Here is a 19330-nt window from a genome sequence, read left to right as displayed (position 1 = left end):
TAAATGAAACTATTTCTGATATCTGGAGATTCTTTTGGATCTCATTGGCAATGAATTAGGGGTCATGTTAATTGGCTTAAAAGTAGTATTGTCATAAGACATAAAAGAGGGGCTAATAGTATAATAGTTGGGTTTTACTTAAATTGTGGATGCTTTTAATGATTTTTAAAAACCCACAATGTTATTAACTATACTCAATACTTTAATGAATTGATACACAGTTACGACAATTTCCTTTACATAAAATCCTTGGTTCTACCTTAGCATCTTTTTGAAATTCTACACTTGTACTCTAATGCAAATTTAGGACCATCAGAGAAGGTCAGTATTTAGGATGTCTGTAATCCTGCTACAGGAAAACACAAAGAATCTTGTTAAATGTTAACTCTGTTATATTAAGCATATACTTCATGTAGCTGTCTTTTGACATCTGTTGTGGCTATGTTTAACCTATATAATAATTTTATATTTCAGTGGAATCATTCTCAGTTTTTTCTATGGCAATGTTGTTTATCAGTTGTCCGCTTACCACCTTTAAAATAAATATCAGAAATTTGGCCAGGCACGGTGGCTCACACCTGTCATCCCAGCCCTTTGGGAGGCCAAGGTGTGTGGATCACAAGGTTAGGAGTTTGAGACCAGCCTGGCCAGCATGGTGAAACCCCATCTCTACTAAAAATACAAAAAATTAGCCGGGCATGGTGGTGCGCGCCTGTAGTCCCAGCTACTTGGGAGGCTGAGGCAGGAGAATTGCCCGAACCCAGGAGGTGGAGGTTGCAGTGAGCCGAGATGGCGCCACTGTACTCCAGTCTGGGAGACAGAGCGAGATTCCATCTCAAAAAACAAAAACAAAAAAACCCAGAAATTTAAGAATTAATTAATGTTTACTATTAGACTTCCAGGGATTGATTTAAGTTACTTAAATTACACTATTCATCACATGAAATGCAAACATTCATTATGGAAATAACATTTGTTTGACTTGAAAATGTGATGATTACTAAATATAAGGAACTCATTGAAACTGGAATAAATGCACAAGCCATCACACAAAACATTCCATTTTGAAGGAATCCCAGAGGGGCATTATCTGTCAGCGCTGGTAGTGTGCACCTGTTCTTCGGAAAACACCTTGGAAGGTAGTTGGTGCCATGTTCCTGATGGGCACAGGGAGGCTGGCTTCTTACTCCAGGCTGCTCAGGGAAGATAGTCTGGTATCATAAACATCCAGACAAGAAATGCATGATTTCACAACGATGCACCTTTTGACAAACAATGAGCACACTACTGACATCCGAGGATGCATTACAAGTGAGACTTTCAGAAATAGGAGGATGAAATGCAGTCTGAAAATGGATATTGCTTCCTGTTTTTCCTTAGTCTTCATTGTCAAATAATTGGGAGATGTCAAGAGATGAGGGTTTAGGATAGTTTTTCAACTGTTTTCTGTTTCCTTGGTTCACTCAGCTCCTGCTACTTCACGCAGACTGTGTTATTAGTCCTTGAGGGCATATTGATATAATTTAAAACAATTTAAAATATGAACTGTTGCTGATTTTGTTCAACAGGAACAGCACTACCATTGTAAGGTTAGCAAGATACCCAATATAATAAATCTCCATAGGGGAAGTTTAAGAAAATTATGTTACGGCAGTTGAGTTCAGCTCTCTTTTCAGCTGGAGCCTTAAGTCTTGGAGCGTTCTAGGTTCTACATCTAAATGTGCTTAACAGTACACAGGCTTCTTGACAAATGCTGTTCTTGGGAAGAGTACAATCCTTCTGTGAGTCTGTGTTATTTTTACCTGTGAGTTGGCATTCCAGGAAAGAGTAGCATGTACTCATTAAGAAAATTCATCTTAAAATTTATTCAGCTTTTTGTCTTCTGACAACCTTGTATTTTAGGCCCTATTGCCAAGTTATTTCCCGTCTTTCTGTCCTGGGACTAAAGTTTCTTTTTTTCTTTTCTTTTTCTTTTTCTTTTTCTTTTTTTTTTTGAAACAGAGTCTTGCTCTGTCACCAGGCTGGAGTGCAGTGGTGTGATCTTGACTCACTGCAACCTCCACCTTCCTGGTTCAAGCAATTCCCCTGCCTCAGCCTCCCAAGTAGCTGGGGCTACAGGCCCACGCCACCATGCTTGGCTAATTTTTTTTTTGTATTTTTAGTAGAGACGGGGTTTCACCATGTTGGCCAGACTGATCTCAAACTCCTGACCCCAGGCAGTCCGCCCACCTCGGCCTCCCAAAGTGCAAAATTTCATTTTTTATAGTTTAATTTCCCACCATAACTTTGACATTTTTCTTTGGAAATAAACTACTTTTTTAAAAATTTCAAAATATTTCTATAAGTTGTAGGTTGAACACCCCTAATTCAAAAACGAAAAATGCCCCCAAATCTTAAACTCTTTGAGTGCCAACATGACACCATGTGGAAAATTCTATGCATAAGCACTTAATACAAACTTGTTTTTAATGCACAAGATTATTTAAAATATTGTGTAAAATTACCTTCAAGCTATGTGTATAAGGTGTATATGAAACATAACGTTTTGGATAAGGGATATTCAACCTGTATTGTTATTCTTATTATTTTTATTGTTTTATTTTTTGAAATGGGGTCTCCCTCTCGCCCAGGCTGGAGTGCAGTGGCGTGATCACAGCCCACTATAGCCTTGAGCTCTTGGACTCAAATGATCTTCCCACCTCAGTCTCCTGAGTACTAGGACTACAGGCATATGCCATCATGGCTGGATAATTTTTAAAAAATTTTTTGTAGAGTTGGGGGTCTTGCTGTGTTGCCCAGGCCGGTCTCGAACTCCTGGGATTACAGCATGAGCCACCAGGCCGGCCTATTTTGTCATTATGCCACTTTCTTAGACAGTGTTCTTTGGTTGCCATTTTGAACTATTAGAACTGCCTTGTTAAACCATTTAGCTTTTGCCCTTTTCTTCCCCAGATCCCTAATACTTTTCTGCCCAATCCTTTCTCTCTATTCAGAGTGTTTCCTGTTTGTCCTACATTCTCTTTCTGTCCTCCTTCTTTCCTGCTCTTCCCTCTTTTTTTTTTTGAGACGGAGTCTTGCTCTGTCACCCAGGCTGGCATGTAGTGGTGTCATCTCGGCTCACTGCAACCTCCACCTCCCAGGTTCAGGCGATTCTCCTGCCTTAGTCTCCCAAGTAGCTGGGACTACAGGCATACACCACCATGTTTGGCTAATTTATATATATATATATATATATATATATATATATATATATATATATATATTTTAGCAGAGACGGGTTTTCACCATGTTAGAGAGGCTGGTCTTGAACTCCTGACTTCAAGTGATCTGCCCGCCTCAGCCTCCCAAAGTGCTAGGATTACAGGTGTGAGCCCTGCACCTGGCCTCTTCCCTCTCTTTTTTTTAGGGCTTTGAGGCATCCTTTTCAACAGCTCCTTAACCTTAAAATTAAGCCATCAATCCCATTCTAAGTATCTCCCTCTTAAACTTCTGCAATTTGTTTAATCTGAAATAAACACCTGAAAATAGAAAATTGAATATCTATATTTTGTAAATAATCCTGATTGACCTTTATTTTTATTGTCAACTCTCTTTTCCTCCACTCCTTTTTTTTAAAAAAAAAAAATTGTTGAATACATTTAAGTGATAAACCTGTAGGACAAGAGTTGATTTAACTATAAAACATTGTTGGCACTTTGCAACAATAACAATCATGTCAGTATGCCTGAGAGAGTTGCTCATAATATTGGAGACACTCGTAGGCTTCTGTTTTCTGAGAGGGTAAATGTCAACCAGATGGGAATTACTGGAACTGAGAAATCATTTTCTTTTTGTCTTTAAAAATTTCTCTTCTATATCTTGAATTTCAAGTAATCACAGAAAATTTCCTTTGCTTCAGATACCATTTACTAATTTTGCACAGTATACCATTTTCCAACTTATTTTCCCACTTTCAGTAAACTTTCTGTTCTCTATCCAGACATTGGAAATGCATGAACTATTTTACAGTCACCATTCAGTACAGCCTAGAGGGCAGAAAAATAAAAGTTCAACCACTCACCTAAAAAGCACTATACATTTTATTGTATTTTATTATTATTATTATTATTATTTTTGAGATGGAGTTTCGCTCTTGTTGCCCTGGCTGGAGTGCAGCGGCGCCATCTCGGCTCACTGCAACCTCCGCCTCCTGGGTTCAAGCGATTCTCCCTGCCTCAGCCTCCCAAGTAGCTGGGATTACAGGTGCCCACCACCACACCTGGCTAATTTTTGTATTTTTAGTAGAGGTGGGGTTTCACCATGTTGGCCAGGCTGGTCTCGAGCTCCTGACCTCAAGTGATCTGCCTACCTCGGCCTCCCAAAGTGCTGGGATTAGAGGCATGAGCCACCGTGCCTGGAGTGCTATACATTTTAAATTATAGTTGTTAACCACTTTCTGTGGAGTTTATTGAAAGCTGCCTGACCCTTATCTTTGCTGGCCATGTAGAGTCCTTGTGTCTCGAGTTGGCTAGCATCCTTGCATCCCAGCCATTCCTTAGGCTTGACAGCTGCATATTTTCCCAGAAACAGTTGTGATTGGTGTGTATAATGAATAGAATAACCTGTTCTTTCCAAATATACATCCCTGTTTTGCCCCTTAGTACTTGATTTGACTAATTGTTTCAAGCTGAAATATAGACTTCAATTAAAAAATTGGAAGCCAGGTGTGGTGGCTGTTGCGTGTAACCCCAGCACTTTAGGAGACTGAGGTGGGAGGATCCATTGAGACCAGCCTGGGCAACATAGTGAGACCCTGTTGCTACAGAAAATTAAAAAATATATATTATCCAGGTGTGGTGGTGTGTCCCTGTAGTCCCAGCTACTCAGAAGGCTGAGGTGAGAGAATGGCTTCAGCCCAGAAGGTTGAGGCTGCAGCGAGCTATGGTCGTGTCACTGCACTCCAGCCTGGGTAACAGTGCAGACGTTAGGATCTTCCCAAGAATGTGGCCAGCCTACATCCTGACCTTGGTCATGTGGCACGTTATTAATCATGGCCATTTAATGTGTAACAGGTTGCATTCAAGAGCCTAGCTTGTGTTGGTTTGGGGTTCTTTTAAATTTGTTTTCTGTTGACAATTCTATTTTCTAGTAAATTTTAAATAAAAATGTTTTTTCATTAAGGCTGATTCCAAAGGTACTTAAGTTCCTTTCTAGCCAGCCATTCTTAGCTGGGTCCTGTGAAAGCATTATGCCCTATAGAAAAGAAAATTGAGTGACTATTTTCTCAGTTCTCCCAAACATGGTACTATTCTAGATGCATTGAAGAGAAGTCAATTCATTACATACAGTGATGCTTTAAGGGCAGTTGTTCTCAGAGTTTGATTCAGGGATGTCATAGACTCCAATACTGTTTCAGTGGGTCCCCTAGGTCAAAACCATTTTTAAAGAAATGCCACAACATTATTTTCACTTTTCATTCATAGTCTCTCACAATTATAAAATAGAGATTTCCAGAGACTATGCTATGTATGATGCTGCAATTGCTCTGATGACCAAGGAGATGTGTGGTTGTATACACGTGTCTTTTAAATTTTTGTCTTAATTTCTGATTTTTAATTTGATTTCTAAGCAAATATTGAAAGATATTACTCACATAATCAAAACTTCTTTGAAGTTTCTCCTAACTTTTAAGAGAAGGAGTCCTGAGACCAAACAGTTTGGGAACTGCTGTCTTAAGGCTGTAAGACTTAATTCTCTGAGAGAACCCCTCCTGGGAATGGCTGCACACAAGGGCAGTACAGTAAACCAGTCAGTTGCTCAATAGACATTTTAAAAATTGAATTAAATTGAGCTCCTAGAATATAACTTTTGAGACCTTATTTGAGATTTTCTCCCAAGGCAATGTTTGAGCATTGAGAGCCTTGTAACTTGGGCCAGGTTTCTGTGAGATAGACAGTTGGCAATTCTCAATATCAAGTCAATGATTTCAGAAGTCATTTTCAAGGAATACGTCCTTTAACTGGTAGATTAATTATGTAGCCTGTTGGCATTATGTGGATCAGTGCCGTCCAAGAGAAAGAGGGCACATATATTATTTACAATTTTTAAATAATCATATTAAAAAAGTAAAAAGTGGTGAAATTAGTTTTAATATCTTTTGTTTAGCCTAATATATCTAAAATATTATAATTTCCACATGTAATCAATATAAAAATGTATCAGGGAGATAGTTTAATTCTTTTTTATATTACTATCTTTGAAATCTGGTATATATTTTACATTTATAGCGCATCAGTCTGGATAGTTACACGTGGCTGGTGCCTACTGTATTACACTGTACAGATCTAGATCATAAAATAGTTGTAGAGCTGAGCCGAGAATGTTCTAGAGTAGATAAGCTTTGTCATAAAAATAGAGAATAAAAATTTTGCTACAGAAGTTAGTATAAAAACATAACCCCATTGAAAAAAGCTTACAATGACAAAATGTTTGATATCTGCCTAAATTCTAAAGACATTTCTAAAAGAAATAGAGCTCTTTCCTTAAAACAAATTTTTTAAAAAAATAAGCTTTTCTTCAAACTGTAATGTTTTCTCTTTCCTTCTAAAAAGCATGCAGTCTGCTCACTATATTCTTTGAAATTACTGTATGTTCATCTGCATACCAGTGTAAGGAGATCCTCTTTCTCGTCTTGGAAGAATTTGAGCCCTTGTGATCTTTGCATTTCCCTCCTACGTAGTTCTTTCTTGAACTGTCCATTTGTCCTGGCATATCCCTGAATCCGTACTATCTGCTATAGGGCATTTATTTCTGATGGGGAAGGGTGGTTTGTTTTGATCTTAATGCTGAACTGTCCCTTAGTTCATTGTCTTTTACTCTGTTGCCGTATCTTGCTTACAAATATGGTGTCAGAATATGCAAGTGAATTTATTGCCTGTTGTGAAGAAACCACTATTTTTTTCAGCTTCATTCACTATGAACATTATTGTGCTTACAAAAGTGAGTTGAGTTAAAAAGAACTGTGTTTTTTAGAAGTGAGAATTAAAAGGGAGAAATAGTAATTTTTCCTCTCATAGAATGAATAATAAAGAACTATGACTTTAAATTTGGCATGATCTAAATTTAATTTTTTTCCTACCACATGCCAATTGAAACAGAAGAATTTGTTGAATGGGAATGTCTTGAGTAGGGAAATTAAGGACTCTCACAATCTGTTATCTCTTTAGTAGCATACTTGATACAGTGTCATGTTTAATTAATATTAGAATGTCAATTTACAAAATCATGCTCTTTGGAAGATAAAAGAATTCTGTGTAGAACAGGCAAACTTAGGAAATATATGGTCTCTTGGTAACATGTTGGAAGTTTTCTGCTTTGTTATAATTTTCATATGTAAGTACAATTAGGAGATTTATAGATTTTCAACCCCAATATAATAACATTCTTTGAGAGTTTATCTTTTCTTTACCTACTGATTTACCTTTGTTGTGGACACATTCAGTTTTTCAAGCAACTGGTGTGTACTTTACACCAAAACCTTTATTATATAGTCTTCAGTAATCTGTAGCTGTGAAACTCATACTCATTTATCTGTTTAGATATTCTCAAAACAATCATACCTGTGTGCCAGCCACCTGCTGTCTGACTTGGCAGTTTCTCTGTTCCAACTTTATTTTTCTGCTTTTTAGAAAACTCCCACTTTCCAGTTTGCAGCTAAGGTAGGAGCTGAGTTCCTTTCCCTGTTAAGTGGTCTTATCAGGCAGTTATGCCATTGCCAAGCAACAGTAAGTTCTCTCCTCTCAGGTGTTAGCTAGTAGGTAGGGTTGGCAAGGGGAGCCTGGCCTGCTGTGAAGAAGTAGACCAGTGTCTCTCTGCCACAGCCCTCAGGGTCGGGTCTTGCTGTGGGTTCCATCCTATGGCTCACTGTGACTTTCCTGAATGGAATGCGTTTATTTTTTTTCCAGCTCTGTTCTTTCCATGTTCTTCCCACATCAGCTGGCGGCAGCCAGTTGGTTCTGAATGCTGCCCACAAATTGTTAGCTATTTTGCTTCTTGGTCCCTCAATTTGTCCCTTGAATAAGGAATTGATGTGTTTCAGATCCAGGATTATGTTGCTTAGTGAAGCAAATCTAATCCTTGCCAAGGAATGCCTAAAGTTGAAGGCTTGATTCCAGAAGAAAATAAAATAACAACAGCACTACCTGTAATTAACATATATTGCCTGTTTACTGTGCCAGGCATTATATTAATCAGGTTGCATGTATTAGCTTTGTTAATCCCCAAAATCACTTTAAAGTAGGTTCCATTGTTGCCCACATTTTACAGATAGGGAGCCATTGGAAAATTAAGTAACCTGTTCTAGGTTATATATTAAGGGATAGTTCCAAGATTTTGAATCTAAGTAGCTTGTCTTCAGAGTCCTTGCTTTCAGTACTATATTCAACTGCTAAATAAAGCTTCACTTTGGTTTTTTTGTTTTGTTTTGTTTTTTTGTTTTGGAGAAAGTGTCTCATTCTGTTGCACAGATTGCAATGCAGTGGCGTGATCACGGCTCACTTCACCCTTGCTAGGCTCATGCAATCCTTCTGTCTCAGCTTCCTGAGTAACTGGGACTACAGGCACACACTACCACACCTGGCTAATTTTTTTATTTTTTGTAGAGATGAGGTCTCACTTTGTTGCCCAGGCTGGTCTTGAACTCCTCGCCTCAAGCCATCCGCCTGCCTTTAACTCCCAAAGTGCTGGAATTACAGGCGTGAACCACCGTGCCTGGCCCAAAGCTTCACTTTTCAATGTCTTCTGGAATCTGAACTCTCACTGAAGAGTAGACAGGAGTTTGATGTTTTAATCTATTAAAACTTCTTTGTACGTGCCTTCTAAGAACAGATTATATTCAATGCAATTTTTCCTGAAAAGATGAAGTACATTTGTTTGTAAAATTCATGTATGTATGTATTTATTTATTATAGTACATATTTATGGGGTACATTTGATATTTTGCTGCATGGATACAACATGTAATGATCAAATCAGGGTAATTAGGATATCCATTACCCCAAACATTTATCATGTCTTTCTGTTGGTGACATTTCAAATCTCCTTCAGCCATTTTGAAATATGTAATAAATTATTGTTAATTATAGCCAACAAAAGGCATTATTGCTAGTACAGATATTTCTTGACTTATGATGGGTTACGTCCCAATAAACCCATTATAAGTTGAAAATATGGTAAGTCAGAAATGCATTTAATTCACTCTATTGTTATCTACCCACGTGATTGTGTGGCTGACTGGGAGCCACACAATCTCTGTTTACCATTATGAAGATCCTATTGCTTCAGAATGCAAATGAAATTTAGAGTGAGTGCCTTGTGAATCAGGGAGGCCCCACTATATGACTCCCTGTGATCTCTTGGAGGTGAAAGAATGCACAAATTTCATAAGTTAACCTGAAGGTCACCCGCTTTTCCCCAGTTACATTGTACATGCCATCAATTAGTAGGGGGTGGGCAGAGGTGGAAGATTTCAGGCACAGGCCTTAGACAGTTGATGCCCTCTGTTATTAAGGTAAATAAATCCTAGCAGTTCTTCCCACCTTTTGCACATCATGGCATGCACAGAAAGTTGAGATTGGAGGTGATCCATTATTGCTTGTAACCCATTTCCAACACACTTGTTTGGAAGTTCTTTTTTTTTCTTTTGAGACAGGGTCTCATTCTGTTGCTGGCACGATCATAGCTCACTGCAACTTCAGCTCCCGGGATCAAACTGTCCTTCCACCTCAGCCTCCTGAGTAGCTGGGACTACAGACACATGCTACCATGCTCGGCTAATTTTTAAAAAGTTTTTTAGTAGAGATGGGGTTTCACCATATTGCCCATGCTGGTCTTGAACTCCTGGACTCAATCAGTCTGCCCTCCTTGGCCTCCGAAAGTGCTGGGATTACAGCTGTTTGGCAGCTCTGCTATGGGGATATATCTGCAAGTTTCTAAGCTTGTTATATTTATGAAAGCATTCTGTACATTACAAGGTGCCATTCACATGTAAGATTTTATTAATAATGACTATTAAGACCAAGCTATTTGTTCTAGGAAGAGACATTGTGTACCATGATTTTTTTTGTTGTTGTTTTGGGAGCTGTCCTGAGAGAAGCAGGAGCAGATGCTAGACCAGTTGTGGAGTTAAGGTCTTGTATGTGATCTGGTGCAGTAATGAGGAGAAGTAGAAATGCAGGTGGTCAAGGGTTATATTATCCAAGACTTCTTACAGGAAACCAAGCAGCTGGTGAGATCCTCATTAAATTCTCTACCTTCTTCTCTGCCTATCCCAGTTCTCTCTGTAGTGAAATTCTGCTTTCTTTGTCAAGTCTTTCCCAGACTTTTTCTACCTCTTCTCCTGTAGGTGAAGGTCATTCACCATCCTCTGTCTGTTGTTATACCTGGTACATAGCTCCATTGCTTGTACTTCCAATGCTGCATTGTTTTCAGTTCCACACATCTTTTTTCCTTTTTAGACTGTGATCTCCTTGAAGTTTAGGCTGTGTCTGATTAATCCTTGTAGCTCCAGCCACACCCAGCTCCTTTCATCACACTCCCTCGTTAGGCATGGCTTGAATGCTCTTTGAGTACAGCTGAAATTTATCTCCCTGTGCCTTTCTCCCGTGGGTCCTCATTTTAACACCTGAAACAGCTTCAGATAAAGTTACTTTTATGCCAGCCATTTATACATCTGAATAATCTGCCACGTATGGCTCCAAACAGTCTTTATTTCTCTGAGCTAAACATTTTTACTTTTGTAATTTTGTTTTCCTGATTTTTTCCTCAGTAAGTACTGTATATGTTCCCTTTACCTCTCTGGTGCATAGAATCTTAGAATGTTAAGATTTGGAGAGGACTAGAGTTTGACTAGTCTAGGTTCTTCATCTAACCAGTATTGCTTCCATACTGATTACATAATTGAAACTGAGATATAGACATATTTTGGAGCAACACAAATATTTTAAGTATTTCACTGAGGAAGTTTAGATTTAGTAAATTTTTAAAAGTCCTTCATCGTTCATTCTTCATTAAAATGTATTTGCTGATGAGTATCTTATTAAAAGGGGGCACATTGGAAAGATATGTTTTATGATGCAGTGCATGTATGCTAAAGAAAGATCTTCAGATTCTTATAACATTCTTATTAAGAATTTGATTCTAAAGCCAAGCTACCTAGGCTTCAATCCTGCACCTGCCACATACTAGGTGTAAATTACTTAATCTTGGGTTAATTACTTAATCTCTGTGTGCCTCAGTTTCTGTATTTCTAAAGCAAGGTTAATGATAAGGTGGGTGTTAGGAGGTTTAAATGAGTTAGTACTTCCAAACCACTAAGAGTTATGCCTGGCCCATAGTAAACATTTCGTATATGGTAGATGCTGCTACTGCTGCTGCCACCACCATCACTGCTACTATTATTATTATTATTGAGTTCTACAAGCATCTGGTGAGATGTGTAAAGCCCCTGTGAAAGTTCTCATAGAACCTTAGTAAGACACCATGTATTTATGATACAAGCTTCTTGCCTTTTTAAAAATTTTTTATTTTATTTAAAGCTTCTTGTCTTAATGAGAGACCCTGTATACCACTCTGCACTGAAACATGATTTGACCCAGACCGTAACGACATCTATGGAGTAATAAAGTATTTTTTCATAGGATTTTACCGTATAAGCAATTGAAGAAATGGCAGAAGACCCATTAGCTTTTGGAGTCTGTTCCTTTGAGACCAACTTGCTAGGAATCCATTTCCTATCTTTTTAAAAAGAGTAAATTAATTTTCCTCATTGACATTCTGTAAACAGAATACTGGCAGCTTATATTTTATGGAACGTAATGTTTTAAAGTGAACCTAATTTTTCTTAGTAAACTGCTTTTAATAATGCATCAGAGTAATTTTTTTCCCTCTGTTGTCAGGTTGCTATCAAGATCATAGATAAGACCCAGCTGGATGAAGAAAACTTGAAGAAGATTTTCCGGGAAGTTCAAATTATGAAGATGCTTTGCCACCCCCATATCATCAGGCTCTACCAGGTAGGATCATTAGTGTATAGCAGATAGCTGCAAAGAACCCAGAATATTGTATGTATGGCTCCCTTTGAAGAAATGTGGGTGGGTGAACATCTGTGACTTTTTTTGTTTCTATGTTAATCCTGCTATCTTTCCTACCCTTCTGTTTACGCGCTCAGCACTTAGTATCCTCAAGTTTCCCCTGGCCATTTACTAGTACGTTTTCCTTACCCAGGTAGGTCTTTTTAATTTGTTCTTTAAAATTTGATGCCATTCTTAGCAACAACTACACAAAATGTTAATTCAGAAGATGATGAGAATTTATTTTATTTAGTTCAGAGTTCTAACACAGGATGGGAAACTCAAAAAGAAGAGAATTTAGAGAGGTGAAAAGTTAGAGATGAATATAACATTTTTTTAATAGCATTATTTGAATACTAGTTTCTGTGATCATGTTATAAATTGTTATGGCAAAGGACTGCTTCTTGGATCAATCAAAACCTACCTCTTTTCTATTCTAATAGGATTGTAGACTTAGTTTTCCAAGGTAGTAATTATTTTGATAATCAAGAGACCAGATCAAGTGACCAGATCTCTCCAATAGGAGAGATTTCTATTTTAGTTTTTTTTTTTTTTGGTCTTCCCAAGAAACATGCATATTTCATGCCATCATCAAAATGATTCCCTAGCATAACTACAAAAGCAGTAAATCTGATGGCTGGAATTTCAAGCGGGATAGGAGGAGAGGACCTTGCCTTAGCAGGCTGGTGAAAGAGATATTTTGGGAGAGGTGGGGCTTCGGGATGCTTCTCAAATTGCAATGTGTTGGCAGCCGAGAACTTTGCCTCTGCATAGGCCCAACTCTACTTGCTGCTTTCTGCCAGAACAGCCATCTCTTAGTTCTGAAGGACGTGGCCACCCACTTGGTTATTTTGCTGCTGTTAGTCTGCAGTAAATGGTTACTGGCCCAGACATAGGACCATGTGTAAAAGTGGAGAAAGTACACCCAAGGCTCTATGGGCAAGCTTTCGTAGCCTCTTAGTTTTATGGAAAAGAAAACATGTTGTGATATTAACATGTGTGGTTAAAACTACAGCGTTAGAGCTCTTCCCTGGCATCAGCTGCTCACATAATGAAATTAGGTCAACAGGAGCAGACCTGTTGAAATTTATCAGCCTAAATTATGTTGAACAACGCCTACCTTCTGCCCCACAAGCAAACTTATGAAAGCTTCCTGGTGCTGCCTGAAGACCTATATCTGTGAGCTCACAGGTGTCTAACCTCAGCTTCCTTCCTATCCTGATGGGCTGAATAAATTTCTTGACCTTACCTTTTAAAATAAATCATCTTTAAATAATTGTGGGGCTTAGGCTGACCTTTCTCAAGAGGTTGACTTATAGCTATTACCCTTGTAACTGAATTCTGCAAGTTTGCCTGTCTTACCCAAGATTAGCCTATGAGGATTTCCACAGGTCCAGTGCTAGCTTTGAGCAGTGCCTTCTTTCAAGCTTTAATTTTGCTTTCTGGCAGCTGGGTTTTTTAAATTTTATTTATTTATTTATTTATTTATTTTTGAGACGAAGTCTCACTCTGTTGCCCGGGCTGGAGTGCAGTGGCATGATCTCTGCTCACTGCAGCCTGCGCCTCCTGGGTTCAAGTGATTCTACTGCCTCAGCCTTCCAAGTAGCTGGGATCACAGGCATGTGCCACCACGCCCAGCTAATTTTTGTATTTTTAGTAGAAACGGGGTTTCACTGTGTTGGCCAGGCTGGTCTCGAACTCCTAATCTCAAGTGATCCACCCACCTCGGCCTCCCAAAGTGCTGGGATTACAGGCGTGAGCCACTGCGCCTGGCCGGAACTGAATTTTTAATTGTATTTAGTTTTAATTAATTTAAGTGTAAAACTAAAAATAATTTTAAAAAGAATTGTTGAAATGATAGTATTTTGGATATATTGGGGTAAATAAAAAGTAGTATTAGAATTATCTTCACCTTTTCCTTTTTCCTTTTTAAATGTGGCTACTAGAAAAGTTAAAATAATATATGCAGTTCATATTATATTTCTATTGGACAGCACTGTTGTAGAAAGATATACAATAAGCAGAGAACAGTGTTCCTCTGGGGATTGAGATGGAGGAGATTGGGAAGAGGAAAGCCTTTGGTCTTTTGTTTTATAATGAGTGTATGTAATCATTATTACTTTTAAAAATGTTTGATGGAAAATGTAAAAAGGAAGAAAGGACTGACAACATACTACAATGAATTTTAAAAAGGAGCAACAAAGGGACCAAGACAAAACACAAATCACTTACGTTACTTTAAAAGGTTGAGTATTTTAAATTACTGTTCTCTTTTTTTCAAATAAATGGGCAGTGGAAAGGAAAGTTGTCATTTCTATAAAAAAAAGAAAGACATATGTGATTTCTGTGGCGTTCTTATGTGACTCCCATTATTTTCCCCAAAGGCTTCTTTTTGCTTTAGTTTTTTTTTTTTTGATTTGATAGGGCATTTTTGTGCTTCAGATGATTGATGTTGAATCTGAAGTTTAAGTTTTGGTTCTTGACAACTTCTTTGCCTCTCAGTTTTATGGAGCTTAAGAGATTGCAGAGACCTCATGGAACATCAAAAAGCCTATCTCTCTCAAGCAATAAATGTTTCCTACTTTTAAGAACTTGGAGGAATATCTAATTTTCCCTTTCTTCTTAATAACATTTATATTTGTTTCCCCAAAAATGTTTTAAATTTTCTTTAATCTATAGTGGTTATTAATATTTCAAATGAGAAAAGAGGAGTCATTAGTTTATCTTCCTGTATCAGCCTGTCATTTGTGTCACTGTCTGTCACTTTCCTGCCTTTGCACCAGGTTATGGAGACAGAACGGATGATTTATCTGGTGACAGAATATGCTAGTGGAGGGGAAATATTTGGTAAGTACATTTATTGCATTCTTTAAACAGCTATTGAGCACACTATGGCAAACCTAAAATAGCTGTTCAGTGCCTTTGTCACTTGAGCAGCAGTCACTTGATGCTGTTCTTCAATCCTGCCATTTTCTATCAACAAAGGCATTTTAATTTGTTTTGATTAATCTAGTAAAATCCCTTTAACACATTTGTTTCCTTAGCAAAGGTGTTTTGTTTATTTCAGTCAGGCGCTGACAGTTGAGATTAAAGATCTCCAAAAACAAGCATCCTTTCTGAACGTGGGACTTAGGGTCTTTCCTGTTTGCAGGTTTTAATTGAGGTTACCAAGTGCGACAGAACTCACACAAGTGTGTGGGCCTCTGTTGTGTCAGAAAGAGCCACTTAGAGCACATAATCTCACCCGAGTGCGTTCCTTAAACTTTGTTTAAATATAACATGTAACTATATTATTTACCATGTGTTCACAGTTCCCCTCAGTAATTCTTGTAATTTTGGGGGTTCTGCCTTCAGTAGCTATATTTTCCTCTCACACTTAGCTTTAGCACAATGTCAGAAATAAGCAAGAGACTTTGTTACTGACAAATCTGATTTTTAAGATGCTAAAAACTGACAAAACGATTTTTTTTCTAACAGTGATAAATGGAGCCAAGTAGAGTTAAAGGGTAAACTTCCAAATCTAAATTGATGTGTCTTTTATTTTTTCTTTTGGCAACTAACTACAGAGAAAAGTTTCTTTATATACTTTATTTGTCTAATTTCCTCATTTTAAAAAAAATTTATCAATATGAACACTTGCTAGTTTAAAATTTTTTAATTTTTATTTTAAACATTTGCTCCTTCCTGCACGATAAAATGTATTTAAAAGCATAGAATCACTTTTAAAATGAATCTTCTTATTAATGACTAGTCAGTTGTGGCTGCATGGATGTGTGTGTGTGTGTGTTTGTGTTTTTAAAGTTTCCCTAGCGATCTAGTGTTTTTTTGTGTGTCAAAGTATCTTTAGGGTAAGTGCTAGTCCTTTTTAAAAGAGGTATCATTATTTCTTAATTTTATATTTAATTGGCTTTGTATATGTGATTAGTTAATGTCAAAGCTAATGGTGATAGAAATTTATACTCAATATAGTATGGGAGGGGATACTTTATTTTAAAGAAATGAAAGCATTACAAGATTTGAAGGATAGCATTGTTTGTCAAGAAGGTATAGTAGGCCTTCACTATGTATGATAATTATATGCCAATCATGTGCCTTGGAGATGCTGACTCAATTAAGACACTGGTTTTCCTTTCCGTGGAGAAATCTGGTGGAAAACAGACAGGGAAATCAACATATTACTTTGAAGATGAGAATGGAAACTGTAAAACTCTGTATAGTAGAGAACAGTAGTGCAGATGGCAGTTTGGTTAACTCTTGGAGATCAGGGAAATCTTCCTGGAGGGCATGGTTATATGGAAATTTATGAACCAGAAAATGAAAGCACAAGAGAGAATATTTGGAGAGAGAGAAATAGCAGTCATGTTATTGGGAGACTATACTATGGTCTGACATTCCAGGCACATGTTATGATAAACCTGCCTTAATTAAGATCACAAATGTATACAAAGGCAAATAGAAAACTTTCATTATCTAGATAAGGTTTTTTCTTTGGACAAGGTATTGCTCTGCTGCCCTGGCTGGAATGCAGTGGTGCAATCCTAGCTCACTGCAGCCTCGAACTCCTGGGCTCAAGTGATCCTCCTGCCTCAGCCATCTGAGTAGCTGATACTATAGCTGTGCACTAGCATACCTGGCTAATTTTTAAATTTTTAGTAGAGACGGGGGTCTCACTATATTGTTCAGGCTGGAAGATACCTTTTTACAAGTTTTATTCTATAAAAAGTCAAACATCTCCCAAATCCTTGAGCTGCCTGTTAGGTATTTTATTTCATAGAACGACATTTATTGGTGGGGAAACAATGGTAATTTGGGGAGAAAAAAGATCATGTCATCTTAATGTTTGTAATAAAAAAAGACCCAAACACAGGGCACATCAATCTACCTTACTCTTTAAGAAAGCAGATTTTATTTATTTATTTATTTATTTATTTATTTATTTATTTATTTATTCTTTTTTGAGCTAGGGTCTTGGCTCTGTTGACCAGGTGAAGTGCAGTAACGGGATCACAGCTCAGTGCACCCCCAGCTTCCTGGGCTCAAGTAATCCTCCTGCCTTAGCTTCCTGAGTAGCTGGGACTGTAGGTATACACCACCATGCCAGGCTAATTTTTAAATTTTTATAGCGATTAGGTCTCATTATGTTGCCCAGGCTGGTTGTGAACTCCTGGGCTGTAGCAATCCTCCTGCCTTGGCCTCCCAAAGTGTTGGGATTATAGGCATGAGCTACTGCACCCAGCAGGAAGCAGTATTAGAGAGATCCGTTTCTTGGTCCTGGACTTCATGTGAATGTACCTCAAGGGATGAACAAACAGAATACCACTTCTGATAATGTTATTTTAAAAACAAAATATTTTAGGTTGGTGAAAAAGTAATTGTGGCTTTTGTCATTGAAAGTAATGGCAAAAACCGCAATTACTTTTGCACCAACCTATAATTATATATTGTAACACATATTATGTAATATATAACAATAGAATTTGAAATGTTATTATTGATACTATTAAGTAATATTATTATAAAAGATCCAGATGTGGAAGAAAATAGTGTATTACCTAAAGAAATTATTGAGACTGCACAGGGATAGAACTGTCTCATGAGCTCTGATTTTTAAAAATGTCTGTGTAAAAAAGATGAAAGGGGCTTAGTCAAGAAAACCTGGGCTTTGGATGTATTTAGACCTAGGTTTGAATCAGATCTCTGTCACCTATTTGCCCTTTTACTTAGAGCAAATTACTAGATGATTCTGGTGCACAGGTTCCAGGTCTGTATAAGGTAAGATCTAGAATATTTGTATTATAGTTGTGAAGATTAAATGAGATCGCATATATAGAGCTCTAGCACAGTGCTTCCTTACGCCTTCATGTGAGAGAGAGATCAACTTCTGCCGTCAAGGTGTGAGGAGCTCTGCTGACCTGCCTTGCTTGCTGAAACAAGTGAAAACTATTAAAGAAAACAAAACCCAGTCATTTAAAGTCTCTGGAAATCGTCCTAAGAGTAAGCAGAAAATGAAGGAACATTATTCAAGAACATCTGTGCAAATTCGGTAAGAAACAAAGTCTGGTCAGCAAGGTGGAAATTCCCGTCCAGGCTACTGCAGCCAAGAACGCAGGGCTTCCTTCTGTCAAAAGACAAAATTGCAAGTTTAGTTTGATGATCCCAGTTGGCTTTATTTGCGATTCTAGAATCGGACAACATTTCATTTCATAGAATAAGTGTTCCAGTAAGTTGAGCAGAAGAGTTTGGCTTATGGACAGAAGGGCTTAAGAAGTCTGAACAGTGTATTGGTTACTTTTAAACAGAACAATAGAAAATTAACCAGTTAACATCAGGTTACTTCGGGCTACCTTTTTTAGTAAGGATTAAAGCAGAGGGAACTTCATCATTGTGCCAGTTAAAGATTTTAGACTGGGCTGTTTGGGAAATTGGCTGTTATCTCTTTCTCCTGATTTCTCAGGTCAGATAACAACCTAGTTTTCGCTTTGGAACTTTAGCATGAGTGACTCCATTTTGATATTTAGTTTGGTCTGTTGGTGCCTAGTGCAGAAGTTTATTCGAAAACAATGGTCTCCTGTAATTTTTATTTGTCACTTCTCCTCAATTCTCTCCAGCATCTGAATAGCAGCTTTCTTCCCAGGAGGATTTGGACATCAGCAATTCTCATTCTGCCCCGAGCTGCCTATTGCTGAGTCCTGGAGAAGTGCAGTTAAGAGATGGGGGCCCCTTCTTCTACTCAGCCCCCACTTGTGGAACTTGATCAGGTATGCCGAGAATACTAGGACCCAGATCACTCTTGCCTTGGGTATTAAGACAGTGGTTTCACTGTCTTTTGCTGCTAGGAGAGGCAAGCTGAGAGGACCCCAGGCTGCTGTCCTCCCCCGCTCTCCATCCACCAAACTCTCAGTTCCTAGAGTGGGAGCGTCACTCAGAGAAGTTTGCTGTTGTCCCCAACCCCAGCTCCAGAGCCCTAACTCTGAGATTTTTACCTGTGGAGAAAAACAAACCATAAAACAGCTCCTAATTTCTTCCCAAAGGAACTGACTTCATTTGCAACAGGGAGTGAAGAAGTTCAAACCTGATTGTACTCTCAAGAACAGTAGAGGGAAAAGAAAAAAGAAAAAGAACAGTGGAGGTTGTGGTAAAGGACATTTGAGAAGAGATTCATGAAACAGGCCAAATGGTAGGTTTGCTAGTTCGCAGGGGGAGAACCAATGAATTAATTTAGA

The 19330-nt window shown here is 38.0% G+C and overlaps 1 protein-coding gene across 20 annotated transcripts in view, besides 1 other annotated feature; it reads left to right on the top strand.

Annotated features, from left to right (window-relative positions):
• Window positions 1-19330, top strand: part of SIK3 (SIK family kinase 3) — a 255027-nt gene that overhangs the window by 129431 nt on the left and 106266 nt on the right. For 14 of the 20 annotated variants that reach the window (XM_017017424.2, XM_047426672.1, XM_005271482.5 and 11 more), the window contains exons 2-3: window positions 11934-12050; window positions 14891-14954. In XM_017017424.2, the coding sequence (XP_016872913.1) occupies window positions 11934-12050; window positions 14891-14954 (181 nt within the window). The other 6 variants (NM_001281748.3, XM_011542723.3, XM_017017425.2 and 3 more) reach the window with 6 other exon arrangements.
• Window positions 4398-4598: a silencer, noted in NCBI's record as "peak1484 fragment used in MPRA reporter construct". NCBI's record gives its function as "represses an SCP1 promoter by STARR-seq MPRAs in K562 erythroleukemia cells {active_cell/tissue: K562}" and the evidence as "EXISTENCE:reporter gene assay evidence [ECO:0000049][PMID:32103011]".

This window comes from Homo sapiens, chromosome 11 (assembly GCF_000001405.40).
Source record: "Homo sapiens chromosome 11, GRCh38.p14 Primary Assembly".
Lineage (NCBI taxonomy): Eukaryota > Metazoa > Chordata > Mammalia > Primates > Hominidae > Homo > Homo sapiens.
This window is presented reverse-complemented; position numbering and strand designations above follow the sequence as displayed.